Genomic DNA, 22845 nt, shown 5'->3' with positions numbered 1-22845 from the left:
ATAAGTTCCTTGGCTGGGAGCCGTGGCTTATGCCCGTAATCCCAACACTTTGGGAGGCCGAGGTGGGCAGATCACCTCAGGTCAGGAGTTCAAAACTACTAAAAATACAAAAATTAGCCGGGCATGGTGGTGCACGCCTGTAATCCCAGCTACTTGGGAGGCTGAGCCACGAGAATCACCTGAACCGGAGAGGCAGAGGTTGCAGTGAGCAGAGATGGTGCCACTGCACTCCAACCTGGGCGACAGGGTGAGACTCAATCTCAAAAAAATAAAAAATAAAAATAAAGAAGTTCCTGTGTCAAAATAAATTTCAACTGCCTGCATTATAGGTGTACTTCTTTTGGTATCTGTTAGATCAATTCAATGTTGCATATGCTATCTATAAATTTATTAGTTTTAAATACATATATGGCTTATTAAGCTTAAAATATTTCACACAATTAAAAGTACACAAACTATTACTTATGATGTCTTCAGAAAATACTTGATATTCAGTTGGATTTCAGGAATCCTCCATTTGCTATGGATCCTTAAGTTCCACTGAGATTAATTTAATACAAGCTAGATAGGAAACTTGTTCAAGAGGAAGGATATTCATTTTAAGCTTTATTACAATAAGGAAAAAAATCATAATGGAAAAAACCAATAGATTTAATATATAATTTACAACTACTGTATGTCAGAAGCTTTAACTAAAATTAAGAGAAAAAGAAAGCAGTACTAAATTATGAGCAACTATTTCAGAACGTAGCTTGATAGAAAAGCCCACATAAATCCATAAAATAATTAATAGAACCTCAATTGTTAAGTGGAGCCAAAAAAGATGAATCAAATAATTAAAATGCCATCACTTTAGCCATTTTATACTATTCTTAAAAATGTAAATTAAGTCAACCAAATAGTAAATACAATTTTTTGAATTATAATGACAATGTTTGCAATGGTGAGATGAATGATCTCATACGTTACTAGCGGTAGTAACGTATAAATTTGGCAAAATAATTTGATATAAAAATATTTTGTTCTTTCACTTACTGAATTCATTTCTAAAGCTCTTTTAAAGAGATAACTTGCATGCTGTAAAATACGCAAAATATCTGTAATGCATCACTGTATTTGTACATTTATACTATATTATGTTATTCACTACAAAAGTACTATTGCTTTGAATTATTTTATCCATAGATTTTTAAATCTATACTATCTTATTTATTTTGTTTTCTAAGAAAATAAATCCAAGCAGTAAAATTGCAAGGTGTATGAAAATATATATTACTTATGTGTATGCCCCATATATATATAATATATATGCATGTATTTAAATATATGAATGCTGTATATGTACAGTCATGACATGCTAACGATTCTTCAGTCAATGATGGACCACATGGATGACCATGGTCTCATAAGATTATAATACTGTATTTTTGTATGTGCCTTTTCTATGTTTAGATACATTAAGATCCACAAATACTTAACATCCAGTTACAATTGCCTACAATATTTGGAACAGTAGCATGTTGTACAGGTTTGTAGCCTGGAAGCAATAGTCTATACCAGATAGCCAAAGTGTGAACTAGGTTTGTGTAAATACACTCTATGATATTTGCACAAGGACAAAATTGCCTGACAACACATTTCTCAGAATGTATATCCATCGTTAAGTGACACATAATTATTTAGTGAACATAAACATTATATATATATGTGTGTGTATGTGTACCCATGTATTGATACCGTTCTGTGGGTATATGTATGTACATTTAATCAATTCCTTCTCATTTAACTTTGCTTCTAATTTTTATACCACTTTAGTTGTACAAATCACATATGTAATTTTAAACAAATGTAAAGTATAACATTCATATTACATTTTAGTGTATTATGGTTTTATATTTTTTATACTACCCCATTTATCTTCTTCACTACTCCCATTACACACCCATGGGATATGACAATCAAGCATGCATTCTTTCATATTTTTCTCAGTACTCACATAGTTTGGTAAACATACATATACATATATGAAATTTTTAAATAATTTATATTGAAAACATGAAATGATATTACAATGTTTGTATCTTGTTTTCTTACATAACCGTTTTTTGGAAATCTGCCTATTACAACTGGTTTAGTTGCTTTAACTATTTGCTTTAAGACTGAATATTATTTTTTAATATGAATATATTATAATTATTTAACATTCTCTGATTTTTCAATTCTGTGAGTATTTCTTCAATACTCATTCTTTAAATACATCCTTACTGTGTTTTACTTCAATAGGATATGTTCTCAAATGTCTGATGACTTGGTATAAAATATAGATATTTTTAAAATATGGGCCGGGCACGGTGGCTCACGCCTGTAATCCCGAGGCGGGTGGATCACCTGAGGTTAGGAGTTCAAAACCACCCTAGCCAACATGGCGAAACCCTGTCTCTACTAAAAATACAAAAAAAAAATATTAGCTGAGCATGGTAGTAGTAGCCTGTAATCCCAGCTACTTGGGAGACTGAGGCAGGAGAATTGCTTGAACCCGGGAGGCAGAGGTTGCAGTGAGCCAAGATTACGCCACTGCACTCCAGCCTAGGCGATGGAGTGAGACTGTCTCAAAAAAAAAAAAAAGAATTGCTTCACATTGTTTTTCTCTTTCTCTTTCTTTTTAGTATTCCACCCCATGTATTTTGTTGCAATTGATATTGTCTCTGATATTAATATTGAGGCCATTAATATCTTGTTTTTTACCTTTGTGCATTTATTTATATTTATTTTATATTTTAATTTTTGTTGCCATGTTTTCAATTTCACTGACTTTCTATTTCAGGGCCTAATCTACCAATCAGAATAATTTTAATTTTTGGTATCATAATTTTATCTTTAGAATTTCCCTTTGGTTCTTTTTTTATATCCCTATGACTCTCCTCATTATGTTCATTTTAAAAAATATTTGCACATGCTGCACATGATAATTATACCTATTTTAAAAAATGTTTTCTACTTTTGTCATCATCTATGTTATTTTTTGATTTGTTTTACCTGGGTATAGAGGTATTTTATCCTCCTTCTTTGTATGTGTGGTAATTCTGGATTGGATGACAGACATTGAAAATGTTAAATATTTGATTACTGAATTTTGTTGTCAGACTTTTATCAGTGTTGAATTTTGTTCTGATAGGCTGTTGAGTTGCATGAAAGTCCTTTGATTAGGGCAAGTCTAGAGGAGGAATCAGCAAGGGATTTTTTTTCTGTCAAGAGCCACACAGTATTTATCTAAAGCTTTGCAGACCGTTTGATTTCTATCACTCTATTGTTGTAACACTGAAGTCTCTATAGATAATATGTAAATAAGTGAAAAGCCATTTTGCAATAAAATTTTAGTTACTGGAAAGTAGTGGTTCAGATTGGTCCTTAATTTGCTGATCCCTGGTACAGAATAATCTATTTTATGGGACTAGTTTAGCCCAATTACTAGAGCATGGGCCTATCTTGCGTCTCTACTACTGCCCATGTATTCAATGATGTTACTTCACTTTGTTTGCTAGCACTTGGAAGGAGTCATGACACTGTTTGTCCTGTGGAAATTGTTTTGACTTATATGTACCTGGAAATTATTCTTTCCTCAGAAATTTTCTTTGCCTATCCTCAGGGAGTTTCACCTTAACATGCAGATTGGCATTCAACTAAAGACTTCGTTGATTCGTTATGTAGATTTCTGGAGCTGTTTCTCTGAGTAACTCTTTCTTCATTGGTGATCCGTCCCAAAATATTCTAGCAATCTCAGATTTATGCTACAAACACCATCTCCTCAAATCAAAAAATAATAAATAAAATGTTAGCTACAGCTCTTGGGAGCTAGTGGGTTGGCTCTCCCTGCCCCAAGATTTATAAATATCCTGTAGGCCAGAAAGTCAGAATGATTGTAGGTAGTTACCTATTTTATTTCTTTAGCTCACAGTATTTACTGTTGTCTAGTATCTAAAAACATGTTTTATCTAAGTTTTCAATTATTTATGGAGAGAAGTAAGACCTTACCTGAAAGTAGAAGTAATCTATGCAGTTTTTAAGAGAAACATTTTATCAAGAAACTTATTACCTGTATTTTTTTTCCCTGAGGAAAAAATTTGGATACTTCTGAAAAAAAATACAGAATAGATAGATTACTGTTTTCCACATAATCTACAAGAGGTCAAAGGCCTGTAGAAGTTTTCTAGTGTTTTAGGACGGCCGAACACTACTTTTGAAGTATATGTTGGGAACAACTGCTATAGTTAAAAATGTCCTTACATATAAATTTTGTATGTTACCTGTCAGATAATTAAAACCAGTTATATTTTTAAAAGTTTAGAATTTTATTTAATATTCTCACTCTTTTACCCATCTAGAAAGGTGTTCAGCAGGAGAATTTTAGAAGAAAATTCAAGTTTTAACAGTGACTTTAAAAATTTTTCCTTATCTAGCCATTGTTTATCTACTTATTGTTACTTTTTCCTAAAACAAGTAATGTTAATACTTTTACTCATTTTTAATTCCCTCTTTCTTCATTTTCCATTTGCTATTGTTGTACTCTAGGATTTCAAATATGAAAAAAATTGCTTTTATTATCACTTTCTTGAGAAAGATAGGTGGTATGTAGTCAAAAACCTGTCCTGGCAATACAGTTAGAGATACAATCTCTCCACTAAGCAAACCCTGCTGTCTAAGCAGAGAATACTTAAGGACTTAGGATAAAGCCATAGAGACAAGCTAACAATGTGATCCTGGTACATTTCTGAAATATACTTTTATCTAATTTGAATATCCAAGTTTTTCATGACAGCTGTATTAGGTTCTCCAGAGTAAAAGAACCAATTGAATGTCTTGTTTAATATCTCGAAAGAGATTCTTATCTCTTAAGGAATTGGCTCACATGATTACAAAGGCTAGTGAGTTAGAATCTTGCAGCACGGGCCAGGAGGTTTGAGGCGTAGGACAGCCAATGGCATTGTTCCAGTCCAAATGCTGACAGGATGGAGACTCTGGAAAGCTGATGGTGCAGGTGAAGTTGAAAGGCAGTCTGCTAGAAAATTTCTTCATGCTCACAGAGGTTGGAAATTTTGTTCCATTCAGGTATTCAACAATTTGGATGAGGCTCACCAACATTGTGGATAATAATCTGCTTTACCTAAAATTAACCAATTTAAACATTAATCTCATCCAAAAATACCCTACAGGTTGACACTTAAAATTAACCATCACAATAGCATTTATGCTCTTTCCTTAGGCCTTATTAAAATGCCAACAGGAAGAGAGACAATTTGCAATTGATACAACCAATAAACTAACAAAGAAATGCCAATTTTATAGAACATAATGTAGAGGTAGTTTCATGAGGAGGGGAAAGAGGAGATTAAAGAAAATGCATTAGAATGGGGAACACTCAGGAAATTGAGATAATGGCAAACAGTAGTATATTTTTTGTAATCTATTATTAAATTTCTAGAGTGTCTACTGTTACCCCAAAGGCCTTACATAAAGAGAGCTGTTAAGACTCATGAGCACTAATGACTTCAGATACTTCAAAGAATAATACGTGAAACCCATACAATTAATGTGATAATTAGTTAGCAGTTTTAGTAACACAAGAAATAAATTTTTTCAACCATACCCTCTGGTGTGAATATTCTCAAAGAGAAAGAAATATTATACACAGTAATAATTAAATAATTAAACTTTATTAAAGGGAGTTCTTTTTTTACCTACCAACATACAGAAATCAGATTTATTTATGTATTTTTATATATATATATTTTTATATGTGGCTTTTTTTCTGCAGATCTTTTATCAGTCTTAAAGTAAGAGTCAAAAAATGAGCGTGTTCCTTTTCTTAAGTGGGTTCCTTTTTTCCTTGCTTATTTGCTATTGAATTGCATAAATTTCTTACATATTTTGCATACTAACCTCTTATCAGATATATGGTTCACAAATATTTCCTCTCATTCTGTGGATTCTCTTTTCACACGATTGATTATTTGCTGTGCAGAAGCTTTGCAGTTTAATGAAGTTCTACTATTTTTTCTAAATTTGTCTATTTTTGCTTTTGTTGTTGTGTGTTTAGTATCATATCCAAAAAAACTTATTGCCCAAACCAATATCAAGGAGCTTTTTCCTGTAGTTTCTTCAAGTAGTTTTATGGTTTCAGGCCTTATGTCTAAGACTTGAATAGATTTTCAGTTGATTTTTGTATATGGTGAAAGGGTTCAAAATCATTCTTCTATGTGTAGATACTAGTTTTCCCAGTACAATTTATTGAAGATACCATCCTTTCCCCATCATATGTTCTTGGCACCCTGTCAAAGATCAGTTGACCATACATGCATAAATTTCTGGGCCCTCTATTTTGTTCCTTTGGTTTATATATCTGTTTTTATGCTAGTACCATGCTGTTTTGGCTACTATAGTTTTGTAGTGTTTTGAAGTCAAGATAGGACAAAGAACCTGAATAGACATTTTTCAAAAGAAGTCATACAAAGAACCCAAAGCTGTAGGAAAAGGTGTTCAATATCACTAATGATTGGAAAAATCCAAGTAAAAATCACAATTAGATATCACCTCACCCCAGTTAAAATGGCAATTATCAAAAAGACAAAAGGCAACACATACTGACAAGAATCTGGTGGAAAGGTAACACTTGTACCCTGCTGGTGGGAATGTAAATTGATACACTCATTATAGAAAACAGTCTAGAAATTCATCAAAAAGTTAAAGATACAGCTATCATATAATATCCAGCAATCCCGTTTCTGGTGTATATCTGAAGATAATGATATAACTATGTCAAACAAATATTTGCACTCTCATGTTTATATTGCAGCATTATTCACCATTGCCGTGATATAGAAACAATCTAAATGTCCACTGATAGATGAATGGACAAGAAAACCCAAGATATGTAGATAGGTGGGTAGGTTGGTAGGTATGTAAACACAGTGGAATATTATTCAGCTTTAAAAAATAAGATAGTCCTGATATTTATGACAAGATGATTGAACTGGAGGACATTACACTAAATAAAGTAAGCCAGACACAAAAGGACAAATACTGTGTGATCTGACTTATATGTGGAATCTAAAATAGTCAAACTCAGAAGCAGAGAGTTAGAATGGTGGTTGTCAGAGCTGAGCGAGAAAAAAATGGAGAGATGTTAAAGCTTACAAAGTTTTAGTTATGCAAAATAATATGTTCTGAAGATCTCCTGTACATCCATTAACAATAATGACTTACATACTTAAACTTTGCTAAGATGATAGATCTTAAGTGTTTTCATCAAAAATAAAAATAAATTTAAATGTGTGAGGTGACACATATGTTAATTAGCTTGATTGTGGTGATTATTTTATAATATAACACATGTATCAAAACATCAAGTTATACTCCTTAAATACATACAACTTCTACTTGTCAATTGTACCTGAATAAAGCTGAAAGAAATGAATTAGCATGTTCTTGAGTGATTTGTAAGGAATTCTTCCCAGCCACCTTGTTTTATTTCTATCTCTTCCCTCAGGATACTTAGAACGTGTAAAATTCCTATGCTTCCTTGATTCTAACCCACCACCCTCAAAGCTAAATGCTTTATTCGGTGATGATGAATATTTTGGTTCAGCTATGCAACCACACTGAGTAAAACTGGGGGAACAAAGAAGTAGAATCCTGCTCTTTTGTGTCAAACATGGCACATAACCAGCACACTCCAGGTACTGAAAGGTAATTAAGCCACATCCATTTTCACAAGCTTCTAAAACACCTCTTTGGAAAATGTCTCTCATTATATTTCTTTAAACTATGAAAAATACTAAAATGACTTCTAATTCATTTGTATTATTTCTTAATTCTTTTGGGATAACTAGTAAAATATTTTTCAAGCTCTCATATTGCATTTTGTTATTTTATTTGAAAACAATACCAAGAACTATATAAACATTAGAGAGAGTAGATGAGGCTAGAACAATATTAAGTAGATCTATTTTCATCAATCATACATTCAAATGTGTGCTTTCAGGCTTTGTATATGAATGTATCTCAGCAATATGAAAACATTCAGGTAAGTGTTACTGAACATTAAGTGCAACCGTGTGATTATTCATGAACAGTTGTATAAATTTTTCATTGCCCATCCAAATACATGCCACATTGAGTATTCAATATGTTTGAATGTGAAATCTCTCACAAAAATACTCTTTCTTCAAACCATAATGTTATATATTAACTTACTACAGGGCTTTTAAATATTATGTTAGAGTATAATTCTCTGCATATCTTAGTTGGGATTCTGTGCTATGAGCCATGTGATGCTCTTACACAGTCGTTCCTGGATCAATGGACCTAAGCTTTATTATCCCACTGCAATGAGATAGTAGAGCAGAGGTGTTTGCCACTTACATGACTGTTTCTTATTTTGATTGTTTCATTTAGATAGTAAATCTCAGTGGCATTAAAAGTGATCCAAAAGTAAATATTGTAAAAGATTTCCAAAATTAACAATGGCTGCTTCAAACAGCAAGATGAACAAAATTTACTTAAAACTGAAGGTGGCATTTATTGTTTTCTTTACTTCTTTTTATTTTCCTTTAGGCCTCCTAGAATTTCTTAAACAGCTCTATTTTACTAGTCTACAGAGATATTGGGGACATTCTTGCCTTTATTAGGAAGGAATGGACATCTTCCTTTTGCTGAAGTTAGCTTTTGGAAAATGTGTCAGGAATGAGCTGTCTTTTTGCTATAAAATCCTGGGTTTCATGAAAAAAATAAGTATTCTAATTCCCAAATATATATTAAATAGCAAAACTATAACATGTATCACTTAAAATAGCCATCATATGTGTCAACATTAACAGTAGAAAATAAACATAAGGAGGGGAAGTTCCAAGATGGCCAAATAGGAACAGCTACAGTTTACAGCTCCCAGCATGAGTGAGGCAGAAGACTGGTGATTTCTGCATTTCCAACTGAGGTACCAGGTTCATCTCAATGGGGCTTGTCGGACAGTGGGTGCAGGACAGTGGGTGCAGCCCACAGACCATAAGCAAAGCAGGGCGAGGCAACACCTCACCCAGGAAGTGCAAGGGGTCAGGGAATTCCCTTTCCTAGCCAAAGGAAGCCATGACAGATGACACCTGGAAAATTGGGTCACTCCCACCCTAATACAGCACTTTTCCAACAGTCTTAGCAAACAGCACACCAGGAGATTATATCCTGAGCCTGGCTCAGAGGGTCCCATGGCCACGGAGCCTTCCTCACTGCTAGCACAGCAGTCTGAGATCGAACTGCAAGGCTGCAGCGAGGCTGGGGGAGGGGCACCCAACATTGCTGAGGCTTGAATAGGTAAACAAAGCAGCCAAGAAGCTCGAACTGGGTGGAGCCCACCACTGCTCAAAGAGGCCTGCCTGCCTCTGTAGACTCCACCTCTGGGGGCAGGGCATAGCTGAACAAAAGGCAGCAGAAACTTCTGCAGACTTAAACGTCCCCGTCTGGCAGCTTTGAAGAAAGTAGTGGTTCTCCCAGCATGGAGTTTGAGATCTGAGAAAGGACAGACCGCCTCCTCAAGTGGGTCCCTGATCCCCGAGTAGCCTAACTGGGAGGCACCTCCCAGTGGGGCCAACTGACACCTCATACAGCCAGGTGTCCCTCTGAGACTAAGCTTCCAAAGGAAAGATAAGGGAGCAACATTTGCCGTTCTGCAATATTTGTAGTTCTACAGCCTCCACTGGGAATACCCAGGCAAACAGGGTCTGGAGTGAACCTCCAGCAAACTCCAAAAGACCTATAGCTGAGGGACCTGACAGTTAGAAGGAAAACTAACAAACAGAAAGGACATCCACACCAAAACCCCATCTGTACGTCACCATCATCAAAGACCAAAGGTAGATAAAACCACAAAGATTGGGAGAAACCAGAGCAGAAAAGCTGAAAATTCTAAAAATCAGAGCGCCTCTTCTCCTCCAAAGGAACACAGCTCCTTGCCAGCAACAGAGCAAAGCTGGACAGAGAATGACTCTGATGAGTTGAAAGAAGAAGTCTTCAGATGATCAGTAATAACAAATTTCTCCGAGCTAAAGGAGGATGTTTGAACCCATGGCAAAGAAGCTAAAAACCTTGAAAAAAAATTGGACAAATGGCTAACTAGAATAAGCAGCATAGAGAAGACCTTAAATGACCTGAAGGAGCTGAAAACTATGGCACAAGAACTATGTGATGCATGCACAACCTTCAGTAGCCAATTCTGGAAGAAAGGGTATCAGTGATTGAAGATCAAACCAATGAAATGAAGGGAGAAGTGAAGTTCAGAGAAGAAAGAGTAAAAAGAAATGAACAAAGCCTCCAAGAAATATGAGACTATGTGAAAAGACCAAATTTACGTCTGATTGGTGTACCTGAAAGTTACGGGGAGAATGTAACCAAGTTGGAAAACACTCTTCAGGATATTATCCAGGAGAACTTCCCCAATCTAGCAAGGCAGACCAACATTCAAATTCAGGAAATACAGAGAACGCCACAAAGATACTCCTCGAGAAGAGCAACTCTAAGACACATAATTGTCAGATTCACCGAAGTTGAAATGAAGGAAAAAATGTTAAGGGCAGCCAGAGATAAAGGTCAGGTTACCACAAAGGGAAATCCATCAGACTAACAGCTGATCTCTCAGCAGATACTCTACAAACCAGAAGAGAGTGGGGGCCAATATTCAACATTCTTAAAGAAAATAATTTTCAACCTAGAATTTCATATCCAGCCAAACTAAGCTTCATAAGTGAAGGAGAAATAAAATCCTTTACAGACAAGCACATGCTGAGAGATTTTGTCACCATCAGGCCTGCCTCAGTAGAGCTCCTGAAGGAAGCACTAAACATGGAAAGGAACAACCAGTACCAGCCACTGCAAAAACATGCCAAATTGTAAAGACCATCGAGGCTAGGAAGAAACTGCATCAACTAACAAGCAAAATAACCAGCTAACATCATAATGACAGGATCAAATTCATACATCACAATATTAACCTTAAATGTAAATGGGCTAAATGCTCCAATTAAAAGACACAGACTGGCAAATTGGATAAAGAGTCAAGACCCATCAGTGTGCTGTATTCAGGAGACCCATCTCACGTGCAGAGACACACATAGGCTCAAAATAAAGGGATGGAGGAAGATCTACCAAGCAAATGGAAAACAAAAAAAAGCAGGGGTTGCGATCTTAGTCTCTGATAAAACGGACTTTAAACCAACAAAGATCAAAAGAGACAAGACCATTACATAATGGTAAAGGGATCAATTCAACAAGAAGAGCTAAGTATCCTAAATATATATGCATCCAATACAGGAGCACCCAGATTCATAAAGCAAGTCCTTAGAGACCTACAAAGAGACTTAGACTCCCACACAATAATAATGGGAGACTTTAACACCCAACTGTCAACATAAGACAGATCAACGAGACAGAAAGTTAACAAGGATATCCAGGAATTGAACTCAGCTCTGCACCAAGCTGACCTAATAGACATCTACAGAACGCTCCACCCCAAATCAACAGAATATACATTCTTCTCAGCACCACATCACACTTATTCCAAAATTGACCATATAGTTGAAAGGAAAGTACTCTTCAGCAAATGTAAAAGAACAGAAATTATAAGAAACTCTCTCAGACCACAGTGCAATCAAACTAGAACTCAGGATTAAGAAACTCACTCAAAACTGCTCAACTACATGGAAACTGAACAACCTGCTCCTGAATGACTACTGGGTACATAAAGAAATGAAGTCAGAGATTCAGATGTTCTTTGAAACCAATGAGAACAAAAAAAGACACAACATACCAGAATCTCTGGGACGCATTTAAAGCAGTGTGTAGAGGGAAATTTATAGGACTAAATGCCCACAAGAGAAAGCAGGAAAAATCTAAAGTTGACACCCTAACATCACAATTAAAAGAACTAGAGAAGCAAGAGCAAACACAGTCAAAAGCTAGCAGAAGGCAAGAAATAACTAAGATCAGAGCAGAACTGAAGGAGATAGAAACACAAAAAACCCTTCAACAAATCAATGAAACTGGGAGCAGGTTTTTTGAAAAGATCAACAGAATTGATAGACCGCTAGGAAGACTAATAAAGATGAAGAGAGAGAGGAATCAAATAGACACAATAAAAAATGATAAAGGGGATATCACCACTGTTCCCATAGATATACAAACTACCATCAGAGAATACTATAAACACATCTATGCAAATAAACTAGAAAATCTAGAAGAAATGGATAAATTCCTGGACACATGCACCCTCCCAAGACTAAGCCAGGAAGAAATTGAATCCCTGAATAGACCAATAACAGGCTCTAAAATTGAGGCAATAATTAATAGCCTACCAACCAAAAAAAGTCCAGGACCAGATGGATTCACAGCCGAATTCTACCACAGGTACAAAGAGGAGCTGGTACCATTTCTTCTGTAACTATTCCAATTAATAGAAAAAGAGGGAATCCTCCCTAACTCATTTTATGAGGCCAGCATCATCCTGATACCAAAGCCTGGCAGAGACACAACAAAAAAAGAGAATTTTAGACCAATATCCCTGATGAATATTGATGCAAATATCCTCAATAAAATATTGGCAAACCAAATCCAGCAGCATATCAAAAAGCTTATCCACTATGATGAAGGGGGCTTCATCCCTGGGATGTAAGGCTGGTTCAACATATGCAAATCAATAAACTAATCCATCATATAAACAGAACAAAAGACAAAAACCACATGATTATCTCAATAGATGCAGAAAAGGCCTTCGACAAATTTCAACAGCCCTTCATGCTAAAAACTCTCAATAAATTAGGTATTGATGGGACGTATCTGAAAATAATAAGAGCTATTTATGACAAACCCACAGCCAATATCATACTGAATGGGCAAAAACTAGAAGCATTCCCTTTGAAAACTGGCACAAGACAGAGATGCCCTCTCTAACCACTCCTGTTGAACATAGTGTTAGGAGTTCTGGCCAAGGCAATCAGGCAGGAGAAAGAAATAAAGGGTATTCAATTAGGAAAAGAGGAAGTCAAACTGTCCCTGTTTGCAGATGACATGATTGTATATTTAGAAAACCCCATTGTCTCAGCCCAAAATCTCCTTAAGCTGATAAGCAGCTTCAGCAAAGTCTCAGAATACAAAATCAATGTGCAAAAATCACAAGCATTCCTATACACCAATAACAGACACACAGAGAGCCAAATCATGCATGAACTCCCATTCACAATTGCTTCAAAGAGAATAAAATACCTGGGAATACAACTTACAAGGGTTGTGAAGGACCTCTTCAATGAGAATTACAAACCACTGCTCAACGAAATAAAAGAGGACACAAAAAAATGGAAGAACATTCCATGCTCATGGATAGGAAGAATCAATATCATGAAAATGGCCACACTGCTCAAGGTAATTTGTAGATTCAATACCATCCCCATCAAGCTACCAATGACTTTCTCCACAGAATTGGAAAAAACTACTTTAAAGTTCATATGGAACCAAAAAAGAGCCCACACTGCCAAGTCAATCCTAATCCAAAAGAACAAAGCTGGAGGCATCACGCTACCTGACTTCAAACTATACTACAAGGCTACAGTAACCAAAACAGCATGGTACTGGTACCAAAACAGAGATATAGACCAATGGAACAGAACAGAGGCCTCAGAAATAATACCACACATCTACAACCATCTGATCTTTGACAAACTTGACAAAAACAAGCAATGGGGAAAGGATTCCCTATTTAATAAATGGTACTGGGAAAACTGGCTATCCATATGTAGAAAGCTGAAACTGGATCCCTTCCTTACACCTTATACAAAAATTAATTCAAGATGGATTAAAGTCTTAAGTGTCAGACCTAAAACCATAAAAACCCTAGAAGAAAACCTAGGTAATACCATTCAGGACATAGGCATGGGCAAGGACTTCATGTCTAAAACAGCAAAAGCAATGGCAACCAAAGCCAAAATTGAGAAATGGGATCTAATTGAAACTAAAGAGAGTCTGCACGGCAAAAGAAACTACTGTCAGAGTGAACAGGCAAGCTACAGAATGGGAGAAAATTTTTGCAATCTACCCATCTGACAAAGGGCTAATATCCAGAATCTATAAAGAACTTAAACAAATTTACAACAATAGTCAAACAACCCCATCAAAATGGGTGAAGGATATGAACAGACACTTCTCAAAAGAAGACATTTATGCAGCCAACACACACATGAAAAAATGCTCATCATCACTGGCCATCAGGGAAATGCAAATCAAAACCACAATGAGATACCATCTCACACCAGTTAGAATGGTGATCATTATAAAGTCAGGAAACAACAGGTGCTGGAAAGGATGTGGAGAAATAGGAACACTTTTACACTGTTGGTGGGACTGTAAACTAGTTCAACCATTGTGGAAGACAGTGTGGCGATTCCTCAAGGATCTAAAACTAGAAATACCATTTGACCCAGCCATCCCATTACTGGGTATATACCGAAAGGATTATAAATCATGCTGCTGTAGAGACACATGCACACGTATGTTTACTGCGGCACTATTCACAATAGCAAAGACTTGGAACCATCCCAAATGTCCGTCAATGATAGACTGGATTAAGAAAATATGGCACATATACACCATGGAATACTATGCAACCATAAAAAAGGATGAGTTCATGTCCTTTGCAGGGACATGGATGAAGCTGGAAACCATCATTCTCAGCAAATTATCACAAGGACAGAAAACCAAACACCGCATGTTCTCACTCATAGATGGGAGTTGAACAATGAGAACACATGGACACTGGGTGGGGAACATCACACACCGGGGCCTGTCATGGGTTGAGGGGACTGGGGAGGGATAGCATTAGGAGATATACCTAATGTAAATGATGAGTTAATGGGTGCAGCACACCAACATGGCACATGTATACATATATAACAAACCTGCATGTTGTGCACATGTAACCTAGACCTTAAGGTATAATAAAAAAAAAAAAAGGAAAATAAACATAAGGAAACCTGAATCAATATCCTTACTACTCCCAGAAGTTATAGTAGAAGCCGGGAGGGAAAAAGCGCCTAAAGTACTTATGAACATGAAATCAAGAAGAAGTGAGTAACACAATGTAATTTGCAATCACTTTCTGTAATGGATAATATGACGTGCCACCCAGACTCCTCCTGCAGGACTGAGAAACTCATTCCACCACCTTCTGAAAATGTGAGCAGCTAAGTCTCTCTTTAGAACTTTCTTTTAGCTGGAAACGTGTGCTCGTGTCAGGACCCTTCCCAACATTTAAACCTATTCATTGTCAGTATAAAAGTGTAAAGTCATGGCTCCTTTGTCTCAAGGCAAGATGACTCTGAAGGGTCTTTTTGGCTCAAGCGCTTCTCCTGAAACTATTTGAGGCCATCCTTGTAACTGCATTGAAGCTTAACTTCTTCCTTTGCCAAATTCTAGTGACTTTACATGTTTAAAATGTTGATTTCGAGGATACTGCCCAACACAGTTCCCACATGCAAAATCCATCTTCATTTCTTTTCAGGGAATCCTGACTTAAGACATTGGCATCATCAAGTCTAAGTAAACATATCTTAATATGAGATATTGAAGCCTGTTCCTCTATCAGCCAGCTGGTAAGGGCGGCATCATTATTGGGAGGAGATGGAGTACTGTAATTATAGCAGTGCAATTGTTAAAACTCTAACCTTTGATAAATTGGGATGGTATGCTGGTATAAGTTAATGCACTCAAAATTTCAGTGTCTCGGCTTTTGACTGGCTAAGGGGAGTGTTAGAAGGAAATTGAATTAGATGTTTTAGCTGAGTGACATTGATACATCAGAGAAGACCAATAAAATGTTGTGGGTGATTAATCACCCATGAAAGTCAACTGTAAAATTCAGAGGGCCTCCTTGGCAGGTTAAAAAGGGACTCTTATTTCCTAAAGATAGAGGGCAGGAAAAAACCTGAGAATCAGGTCCAAGAATCAATTATAGTATTATAATTATAATAGCAGCAGAGAGCCTTCCAGAGGAGGTCGAATTCATAGCCAACAAAGGCTATGTTAATGCCAATGATAGATTCCTGGTTGGAAAAGCTTGGGACCCTGAGCCTTGAGTTGGAAATATTTTTGTTGATGGATTAAAAATCACTAAACCCAAATCCCCTGAATACTCTGGGCTTGAAGAAGATGCACATTGCTTCCTAATAAAGACTAGAATGCCCCCATTGTCTGAAAATGATGCAGTAATTTCCACCTCACCCAGTGTCTTGAACACTCCTCAGCATCTAAACTCAACTCCATTTTTAGCTTACATGCTGGGAAAGTGCTAGGCATGTTAAGAAAGATAAGCGACTATATCCCAAAAAGACCTGAGGACATCTCTCAACAAACTTCTAATGGGTTCAGCAAGACCTAGTCAATATACAATTAGTCCTTTGTATTCACAGGTTCCCCACCCACAGATTCAACTAACTGCAGATTGAAAATATGACAAAAATACAATAAAAAATAATAATGTAGAAATTTTTTTAAAAAGTATAACAACTACACAGCTTTTACATTGTGTTAGGTATTGTAAGTAATATAGAAATGATATAAAGTATACAGGATTATGTCCATAGATTATATGCCAATGCTATGCCATTTTACATAAGGGACTTGAGCATCTACAGATTTGGGTATCCAGGGGAGGTCCTGGAACCAATCCCCTGTGGATACCAGGGATGACTGTATACTGGAAGGAGTTAGGAGAGTGTGATTTGGTCTGTATCCAGAGGCTCTTGTATCAAAGAAGGTAGAACATGAGAATGGATAATGGCTGGCCAGTTTATTGATAAAGGAAAACTATCCCAAAAGGATTTGACACTTTGATGAAAACCTCAGAAAACAGTGTTAACATACTGATTGAGTTATTAGAAGTTTTGAGAAAGTGGTAGTTTATAGTAGGTAAAGTATAAATGCCAAGACTGCCAGACGTGGCAAAGAAGAGTTTAAAATTTTACAAAAGTGGCCAACCTACTGAATATACTATGTAAGGCCAGAAAATTCGCCATTTAACCATATTCTGAAGAAGAGCCGCATTTGCCAAAGCAATATGTGATGTACTAGTGAGAGAAATATCATCCTGGAGAAACTCAATGTCACCTGCCCTCTACTGGGAGGACTTATGAGTAATAAATACTGTTACAGAACTGGGTTCCTCGATGACACAAAAGGTAATGGAATCTTGAAAAGGTGGAGGCCAAAAGCAGTATTTAATCATCAGAAACAGGATGGAACCAGTTGCCATAACTAGTGGAAAAATCACAATGGCCACCTGTAGGCCATGACTCTCAGAGAGCTATGGAGGTAGTTAATAGATAGCAGCATCCTCAGGTGGGGAGCTGATGAAAGTTTCTCCATATGCACAATCAAAAGAAATTAAGCATGGATGGTCAGTAGACTGAGGGCAGCATCTCCAATAAAATTCCATGGTTCTTGACAGTTTCTGAACTTGAGCCAGTTTTCATATATGGGGCCTATTGAGATAAGGAAAGAGAGAGGAGGGGGTGGTGGAAAAGAAAAAGAGAAGTAGCATCTCCCACACTTAAGAATATTGCCACAAGCTATTAACAAAGTGACATGCATACCTGCCATCTTTGAGTAGGTCCAGACCAGAAAAGTATTCTGCAATAGAGAAAAGCTAGAAAAAGTAAAAGCTGTACCAACCTGGCATATTCTTATACAGAGGTTTGGGTAATGGGTAATGATTCTTTGTTATTTATGGCATAGTGGAGAATTATGCAACATTAAAAAAAAAAACTCTGTTTCTAGCATGTTATTTGGCCCTGGTATAGAAGAAATACTTAACCATAAGAAATTAAGTGGCCATTTGCCCTGCAAATCATGAGCTGAGTTCTGTCAGACCCTTCATGTCATAAGCAAGGCAGGCCTAGTAGAAACACATTGTAACATAGAAATGATACATCTAAAATCAGGAATATGCAGTGGTCCAGACCCTTGTAACACCCACCATTGGTGTACCAGTCCCTCTATATCTGCCTACATTTATAACAATATAGGAATTTATCTTGTCCAACTAATGGAAGTTGAGCTTAATCAGCTGCTGTACTACAACCCTAATCAGTAGTGGTCCTGAAAGGTAATAATGATAGAAAATCTACATGGTAAAGCCTCAGTCTTAAGACCACTTGCAGAAGCAGGGATGATAATTTATCCCACTTCCCTTCTTTTTGTAAGTTTATCTTGAATTATAGACTAATAAGCGTCACATAAAATATGTGTGAAATTTATCATAGGGTGGAAGTGGACTAAGATAGCACAAGGGGTGAACCATAGTGGATGCTGTGGTGCACAATCCAGAGATCTCCTTCAGAACTGTCAACAGATAATGGTTCCCTGCTGAATCCCTCTCCATGAATTGCCTTAAGTCAAAGAGAGCTGCCTGCTCAGGGTAATATTTGTACCCTGAAGAAACCCAATCTATGACTGATCAATAAAATGATATCAAGACCTGATCCCTGTGCTTCGAGGCTGGATAACACTGAAAGGCTTTCTCAGATTCAGAGTTCCTTGTGGATATGCTAAGGCTTTTGTTAAGACTGAATCACAGTTTACATTTTCTCTGCCCAAACTTCCTTCCTTCACCCCAACACAGATATTAATATCAAAGGCACTGGTAAATCAACTTTCTTCATTCAAGTCTTCATCTCACAGTCTGTTTCCTGTACCAAATATAAGGCATAATCCTTACAGAAAATCAGAGTATCTTTATCAGCTAACATATTAATATAATGATTAATTTTAATTCATTCCAATGCCTAGGCCTTAATTGGTCAACAGGATGACTCAGACTTGTTTAAATCTAGAAAAACCTGAAGATTTTTAGTACAGTATTAGTAATACAGAATTGAAGCTGGAGTTCTGATCGAGCGAAAAGCCATTGTCCCTGGCAATCTCTCCTGGATATCTGGAGTACTTCATTTATGACAGAGCATGGTGATCATAATTAAGCATAAAGGGAGATTTCTGGCACACTAAAATATTTGTTGGACACTTATATTTCTCCAGGATAATGCCATTTCCCCTCACAATATAGGATATTGTGACCTATTTCTAGTCTTTCCCCAACCCCAGCCATGCATTCATAGTTCTCTAAGAAGATGAAAATAATTTCCAGCTATCTTGATCTGTTTGTATTGCTATAGCAAAAGAACATAGATCATAGGTTGGGTAGCTTAAACAACAAACATTTATTTCTCCAGTTCTGGAGGCTGAGGATTTCAATATCAAGGCACCAGTAGATTCCATGTCTGGTGAAGGTCTACTTTCTGGTTCATATACAGCTATCTTCTTGCTGTGTTCTAACATGATAGAAAGAACTAGTGAGCTCTACGGGTCTCTTTTATAAGGGTGCTAATACCACTCATGTGGGCTCCACCCTTATGATCTTCCAAAGGCCCCACTTCCTAATATCATCATATTGGGGAATTAGGATTTTAGCATATGAGTTTGCGGGATGCACATGTTCAAGTCATAACACCAGCTCAAAGAACTTGCCACTCTAGAATTCAGGAGGCTTTTTGTTTTGTATAAAGTACATTGTTCATGGTGCCTATAAATTTTATACTGTTGTATTGGACTAATCTTGGTACTATTTTTGCATTATTTCATGTTGTCTAAAAGACATTAAGATTGGACACTACTACAGCTGATGCTCTCTTGAAAGCCTACCTCCTGGCAAGAGGCCAACTAGCACAAAAAATAGTGCACTAAACAACCAAAACTAAAGACCTTCACAGAGTCCATTTCACCTGCCTGTTACTTCCACCAGAGCAAATGCTGATATTCATGGCTAAGATACCTGCAGATCATTCACATCACAAGACACTGTGCAGATATCCCCCAGGACCAGACTGGAAACGGGTAGACCTGCTGGGTGGCTAGATCCAGAAGAGAGATAACAATCACTACAGCTTAGCTCTCTGGAAGCCACATCCCTAGGACAGGGGGAGCATACTACATCAAGGGAACACCTTGTGGGACAAAAGAAACTGAACAGTAGCCTTCCTTCTGAAATAGCCTACCCAAATAAGAAGGAAACAGAAACACAATTCTGGTAATATGACAAAATAGGGTTATTTAACACCCCCAAAAATCACACTAGCTCACCAGCAATGGATCCAAACCAAGAAGAAATCCCTGATTTACCTGAAAAAGAATTCAGGTTAGTTATTAAGCTAATCAAGGAGGTACCAGAGAAAGATGAAGTTCAATGTAAGGAAATTGAAAAAAAAATGATAGAAGAAATGAGGGGAGAAATCTTCAGTGAAATAGATAGCATAAACAGAAAACAATCACAACTTCAGGAAATAAAGGACACACTTAGAGAAATGCAAAATGTTCTAGAAAGTCTCAGCATTAGAATTGAACAAGCAGGAGAAAGAACTTCAGAGCTTGAAGGCAAGGTTTTTGAAGTAACCCAATCCAAAGACAAAGAAAAAAGAATAAGAAAAAAATGAACAAAGCCTCCAGGAAGTTTGGGATTATGTTAAGTGACCAAACAAGAATAACTGGTGTTGCTGAGGAAGAAGAGAAATCCAAGTGTTTGGAAAACATATTTGGGGGAATAGCTGAGGAAAGCTTCCCCAGCCTTGCAAGAGACCTAGACATCCCAATACAAGAAGCTCAAAGAACACCTGGGAAATTTATCACAAAAAGATCATCAGCTAGGAACATTGTCATCAGGTTATCTAAAGTCAAGATGAAGGAAAGAATCTTAAGAGATGTGAGGCAAAAGCACCAGGTAATCTATAAAGGAAAACATATTAGATTAACAGTAGATTTATCAGCAGAAACCCTACGACCTAAAAGGGATTGGAGCTCCATCTGCAGTCTCCTCAAACAATTATCAGCCAAGAATTCTGTATCCAGCAAAACTAATCTTTATAAATGAAGGAAAGATACAGTCTCTTTTAGACAAACAAATGCTGAGAGAATATGCCACTACCAAGACAGCATTATAAGAACTGCTAAAAGCAGCTCTAAATCTTGAAACAAATCCTGAAAACATATCAAAACAGAATCTCTTTCAAGCCATAAATCTCACAGGACTTATAAAATAAAAATACAAAAAAAAACCCCACAAGGTATACAGGCAATAAATAGCACAATTAATGGAATAGTACCTCACATCTTAATAATAATGTTGAATGTAAATGGCCTAAATGCTCTGCTTAAAAAATACAGAATTGCAGAATGAAAATAATTCATAAATCAACTATCTGCTTCCTTCAAGAGACTCACCTAACACATAAGAACTCACATAAACTTAAGGTAAAGTGGTGGAAAAAGATATTCCATGCAAATGGACACCAAAAGCAAGCAGGACTACCTATTCTTATATCAAACAAAATAAACTTTAAAACAACAGCAGTTAAAAAAGACAAGAGGGACATTATATAATGATAAAAGGTCTTGTACAAAAGGAAGATTTAACAATCCTAAATATACATGCCTAACACTGGAGCTCTCAAATGTATGATACACTTACTACTAGACCTAAGAAATGAGATAGACAGCAACACAATAATAGTGGGGGGCTTCAATACTCCACCTACAGCACTAGACATGTCATCAAGACAGAAAGTCAACAAAGAAACAATGAACTTCAAGTATACTCTGGAACAAATAGACTTAACAGATATTTATAGAACATTCTACCTAACAACCACAGAAAATAGATTCTTTTCATCGGTGCATGAAATTTTCTCCAAGATAGACCATATGATAAGCCACAAAACAAGTTGAATAAGTTAAGAAAATTGAAGTTATATCAAGTACTCTCTCAGACCACAGTGAAATAAAACCGGAAATCAACTCCAAAAGAAACCTTCAAAACCATGAAAATACATGGACATTAAATAACCTGCTCCTGAATGATCATTGGGTCAACAATAAAATCAAGATGAAAATTAAAAAATTCTTCAAACTGAATGATAATAGTGACACAACCTATTAAAAACTCTGGGATACATCAAAAGCAGTGCTAAGAGAAAAGTTCATAGTCCTAAATGCCTATATCAGAAAGTCTGAAAGAGCACAAATAGACAATCTAAGGTCATGCCCCAAGGAAGTAGAGAAACAAGAACAAACCAAACCCAAACCCAGCAGAAGAAAGGAAATAACTAACATCAGAGCAGAACTAAATGAAATTGAAACAAAGAAAAAATACAAAAGATAAATGAAACAAAAAGCTGGTTCTTTGAAAAGATAAATAAAAATGATGGACTATTAGCAAGATTAACCAAGAAAAAAGAGAGAAAATCCAAATAAGATCAATTAGAAATGAAACAGGAGATATTAAAACTAACACCATAGAAATACAAAAGATAATTCAAGGCTACTGTGAACATATTTGCACACATAAACTAGAAAACCTACAAGAGATGAATAAATTCCTGGAAAGATACAACCCTCCTAACTTATATCAGGAAGAATTAGATACCCTGAACATACCAATAACAAGCAGTGAGATTGAAAAGGTAATAAAAAAATTACCAAAAAAAAAAATTTGGGGACCAGATGGATTCACAGCTGAATTCTACTGGGCATTCAAAGATGACTTGGTACCAATCCTATTGATACTATTCCACAAGATAGAGAAAGAAATAATCCTCCCTAAATCATTCTATGAAGCTAGTATCACCCTAAGACCAAAACCAAGAAATGACATAACCAAAAAACAAAACAAAACAAAACAAAAAAAACTACAGACCAGTATCCCTGATGAATATAGAT

The 22845-nt window shown here is 36.4% G+C and overlaps 1 long non-coding RNA gene across 1 annotated transcript in view; it reads right to left on the bottom strand.

The window, feature by feature from the left end:
• Nucleotides 1-593: 593 nt before the first annotated feature.
• LOC107986437 (uncharacterized) overlaps nucleotides 594-22845 on the bottom strand; it is a 41126-nt gene continuing 18874 nt past the window's right edge. Inside the window, exon 2 of the long non-coding RNA XR_001742825.3 lies at nucleotides 594-5161. This is a non-coding gene — a long non-coding RNA (uncharacterized LOC107986437). The remainder of the gene's footprint in view (nucleotides 5162-22845) is intronic.

Source organism: Homo sapiens, chromosome 5, assembly GCF_000001405.40.
Source record: "Homo sapiens chromosome 5, GRCh38.p14 Primary Assembly".
Taxonomy (NCBI): domain Eukaryota; kingdom Metazoa; phylum Chordata; class Mammalia; order Primates; family Hominidae; genus Homo; species Homo sapiens.
Note: the sequence above shows the minus strand (reverse complement) of the source record. Positions and strands in the feature narration are given on the sequence as shown.